A 4,747-nucleotide genomic window follows, 5' to 3' on the forward strand; every position below is an offset into this window, starting at 1 on the left:
TAGCTAATATTTCTATTTTATTTCTATATCTAGATGAAATTTAAGTTTTTTATTTGTTTATAGATGTAATTATTACTATTACTGGCTGCATTGTCAAGCAAAGCAAACGACAAGCAAAGAAAATTTTTAAGATGTGAAAATGTAAATTAAAGTTATATATGAAATCAACAAACATATTACATTTGCCATAGTCTTCTTATGTGAATTAATGCGGAAACAGAAAATCAAATACTTTATGTTCTCACTAACAAGTGGGAGCTAGACTATGTGTATGCAATGCGTACACATAGATATAATGACGGAAATAGTAGACGCTGGGACTTCAAAAAGGGGAAGGAAGGACAGTAGACAAGGGTTGAAAAGCAACCTATTTTGTTGACAGTTTGAGTGATGGGTTCACTAGAAGCCCAAACCACAACAAGTCCCAAAATACCCTTCCTTGTAACAAGCCTGCACGTTTACCTATGAATCTAAAATAAAATTTTTAAAAAGAAAAGAAAGTGGACTTTTTGTTTAATTAATTTAAAAAAATAAATGAATCACATAGGTAATAGTACTTCCAACATATTTTAAAACAGATATTTGTGTATCGTCAAGTTCCCGTACCAACTGACTTTTTGGATAAAATGATTTACCTTCTTCTGTAGTAAACAAAAATTGCTGTCCTTGGTTTTTTGGTTTTGTTTTTAATTTTGTCAGTGTTTTTTTTTCTTGCAGTTATTTTGATATCTGAAAATAATTATGAGTAAGAATTGCTCCTTATTGGACTTTAATGTACTAATGAAAATAATTTTCAATAACTTTTAAAATGCATGTCACCTTAGACATCCTGTATAATTCAGTATGATACTATGTGATAGAGAAGAAATATGTTCGAAATATGGCAAGATAAAGCCATTTTAGTAGGTAGCATACATAACAATTATGAAAGCACAATAACAAAATATTACAGAGGAAGTAGATTGAGTTCTGCTTCTGGAAAGGTAAACATGCTAAGAAACAACTAGAAAAATCAGGCTAAATACAAAAATTGTCTTTGAAGTCATTATAGAACTACGAACTACCATTAGACAGTCATGAGATTATGTGATACTGAAATCTGGACAGAAGAAAAGGCAGGGAATAGAGAACAGATTTAGCAGTGCTTCTGTCTCCAAGGGAATTGTCAATTCTGAAAGTTGCATTGAAAAGTTGAAAAGCTAAATAGAGCTTTTGTCAGTCTTAGAGGGCTGAGGGGACACTGAAGTTCAAAACCCATGAAAAAGGAAAGGCCATTCTACAGCCCCCAGGATGTTGGATGATATCTTTGGGAGGCTGCACCTCTGAATTAAGAATAAATTGGAAATAAACAAATCCTCACGTAAACTGAAGCCCAGGTTCAGATCATGTCAACCCCTAGTAGATTAAGCTAACTTGCTCCCACTGTAGTTGCCTTCCAGAGAAAAAGAAAATACTCTCTGGAGGACAATAACATCACAAAAAGTCTCCAGTTATGGATGTAATTTTTTTGTCTGAGTGCCACTCAGTAAAAAATAACCCGGAAGCAAGCACACAAACAAACAAACAAACAAAAAAAGATAAAAATTAAAAGGTTTTTTTTAAAAAAACAAATAATATTCAGAGAATCAATTTAGCTCTAGATGATAGAGTTGTAAGACCTGGATGTTAAAATATCTATGACCAATTTATCCAATTAAGTTTAAAAATGGAGAATTTCTGTAAAAAACTGAAAATTAACAGAAAGATTCTTAAAGGAATCCCACACTACATAATATAGTAACTGAATTTAAGAAGTCAGAAGCATATTGGCCAGGCCTCGGTGGCTCATGCCTGTAATCCCAGCATTTTGGGAGGCCAAGGCGGGAGGATCATGAGGTCAGGAGATCGAGACCATCCTGGCTAACACGGTGAAACCCTGTCTCTACTAAAAAATACAAAAAAAAATTAGCCGGGCACGGTGGTGGGCGCCTGTAGTCCCAGCTACTCAGGAGGCTAAGGCAGGAGAATGGTGTGAACCCAGGAGGTGGAGCTTGCAGTGAGCCGAGATCACGCCACTGCACTCCAGCCTGGGCCACAGAGCGAGACTCCATCTCAAAAAAGAAAAAAGAAAAAAGAAGCATATTAAAGATAGATTTTTTGAAAAAAAGAGTATTATTGTACTGGAATTCAGAGCAAAAAAAATTTCCAGATTAACATACAGAAATATGGATGAAAATATAGAAACATAAAACATGGTAAAAATGTTTAAGATATTAAATTGGAATGTCGAAAATGGAGCAGAGAGAGACTGGTAACTAACCAATATTTGAAGAGACAAGAAAGACATAAAAAACATAGATCCCAGGAAAATTGCAATCCAGAACTACTTCCAGATGCCTTATATTACAGTACTGTAAATCAAACACCAGTGACAATCTCAAAAGTAGCAAAAAAACTAAACAAAACAAAAACACACACTCACACGGAACACATTACCTTTAATGAAGCAGCAACAGGACTGTTAAATGATTTTCTCACTGAAAGTAGATGGATCATTTTCAAGGTGCTACAAGAAAATATTTGCCAATTTAAAAGTTTGGTAAATATAAAGTCTAGTAAATACAGCATGAATTAAATAAAATAATGAAATAAAATAGTAATTTAAATAAAATAATTAAATAAAATAAATAGTAAATTAAATATAATGCCTTACTTTCAGATATACGTTTGATAGATCTAGTAAATCATCCAGTAAATATAAATGTCTGGTAAAATATCTAGCAAACTGAAAATAAGGCATTTTCAAAATAAAAACAAAATCATTAGGGAAATTGGTTATCAAACACATGTTAATGGAGACACTAAAGAGTTTATTCTGTCATAAGTAATATTTTTCTTATCAGAAGAAAGCTTGTTTATTCAGAAAGGAAGAAAGAGCAAGGAAATTAGTATGTGGTTAAAGATAAGTGAATTTGACCCAATAATAATAATAGTGTGTAGTTGATATGTGTGTGTATATTTTACATATATAGAGAGAGACAACAATACAAGTTAATTTACAAATAAAATCTATTAATGCAAAAAAATAAAACAATAAATTTAAAACAGAAAATTCAAAAATAATTAAAAGCACAATAAATCAAGAAAAACGAGGGAATAAAAAAAAATTCCCTAGAGACTTATGGGGCCAAATAAAGATTAGACAGTAAAATGACAAACTTAAACCATTAAGTGCACTAAATATAAACTAAAATTAAATGTGGATTGACTACATTTTAAATGATATCAGGCCGTGTGTGCTGGCTCATGCCTGTAATCCCAGCACTTTGGAAGGCCGAGGAGGGTGGATCACCTGAGGTCAGGAGTTGGAGACCAGCCTGGCCAACATGGTGAAACCCTGTCTCTACTAAAAATACAAAAATTAGCTGGGCATGATGGCGCGCGCCTCTAATCCCAGCTACTCGGGAGGCTGAGGCAAGAGAATCGCTTGGACTTGGGAGCCAGAAGTTGCAGTAAGCCGAGACAGCGGCCACTGCACTCCAGCCTGGGCGACAGAGTGAGACTCTGTTTCAAAAATAAATAAATAAAATAAAATAAAATGATATCAGCCATAACCTGCATACAGGCTTTTATTTAAGTTTTGTCTGTTTTACTTAGTAAATCTAGCTAAAGTTTTGTGAATGTTATTGATCCTTTCAATGAATCAACTCTAGTTTCACTGATTTTTCTCTCTAATTTTTCTATTTTTATTTCATTTGCTTCTACTTTAATCACTTTTTTTCTTTCCTCTGTTTGCTTTGAGTTAAATTTGCTCTTTCCTGTTAAGATTCTTAAGATAATGTGTTAGTTTATTGAGTCTAGGTCATTTTTTTTTGTGATTGAGGCATTTACAGCTATATCACAGTTATAAATGTAACTGTAGACTTTTTTTTTCAAAATTTGAATGTGTTTTCTCCCTCCTTCTTACCTCCATAACAGCTATATCACAGTTATAAATTCAACTGTTTACTTTTGTTTTCAAATTTTGAATATGTTTTCTCCCTGCCTCTTACCTCCATGGGTCCTGATGAGAAATGAACTGCTCATCTAGTTGAGGACCACTTGTACATAACAGCTTACTTTTCTCTTGCTTCATTCAATATCCTTTTTCTTTAATATTTGTCTTTTGAATGTTTGACTCTAATGTGTCTAGGTGCAGATTTCATTTAGTTTGTCATAGTTAGAGAATGCTAAGCTTCTTGGATGTACAGATTAATACTTTTCATCAAACTTGGGAAGTTTTCAACTAGTTTTTATACAATATCATTTCCATCCCTCTTTCTTTCGTCTCCTTTTGAGATTCCCATTACGTACATACGTGATGGTATGCTTGATGGTGCCCCCAGAGGTCTCTGAGATTCTAATTTCTTCATTTAAAAAATTTTTTTCTGTTCCTGAGATGAATAATTTCAACTGACCTATATTAAAATTTGCTGATTTATTTTCCTCCCAGTTCATATCTGCTGTTGAATCTCTTTAATATATTTTTCATTAAACTTGTACTTTTCAACTTCAACATTTTTACTTGGCTCCTTATTAAAATTTCTATCTCGTTGTTTTCATTTGGTGGGAATTTGTATGCATTCCCTTAATTCCTTTAATGGTTTCCTTTGGTCCTTCGAATATAATTATAAGAGCTAATATGAAGTCTTTGTCTAGTGAGTCCAATTAATACCTCAGCTTCTCAGTAACAGTTTCTATTGACTGTTTTTTGGTTGTCGTTGTTGTT

The 4,747-nt window shown here is 33.1% G+C and overlaps 1 annotated feature.

Annotated features, from left to right (window-relative positions):
* Positions 292-492: a silencer, noted in NCBI's record as "peak1427 fragment used in MPRA reporter construct". NCBI's record gives its function as "represses an SCP1 promoter by STARR-seq MPRAs in K562 erythroleukemia cells {active_cell/tissue: K562}" and the evidence as "EXISTENCE:reporter gene assay evidence [ECO:0000049][PMID:32103011]".

This window comes from Homo sapiens, chromosome 11 (assembly GCF_000001405.40).
Source record: "Homo sapiens chromosome 11, GRCh38.p14 Primary Assembly".
NCBI classification, from domain to species: Eukaryota; Metazoa; Chordata; class Mammalia; order Primates; family Hominidae; genus Homo; species Homo sapiens.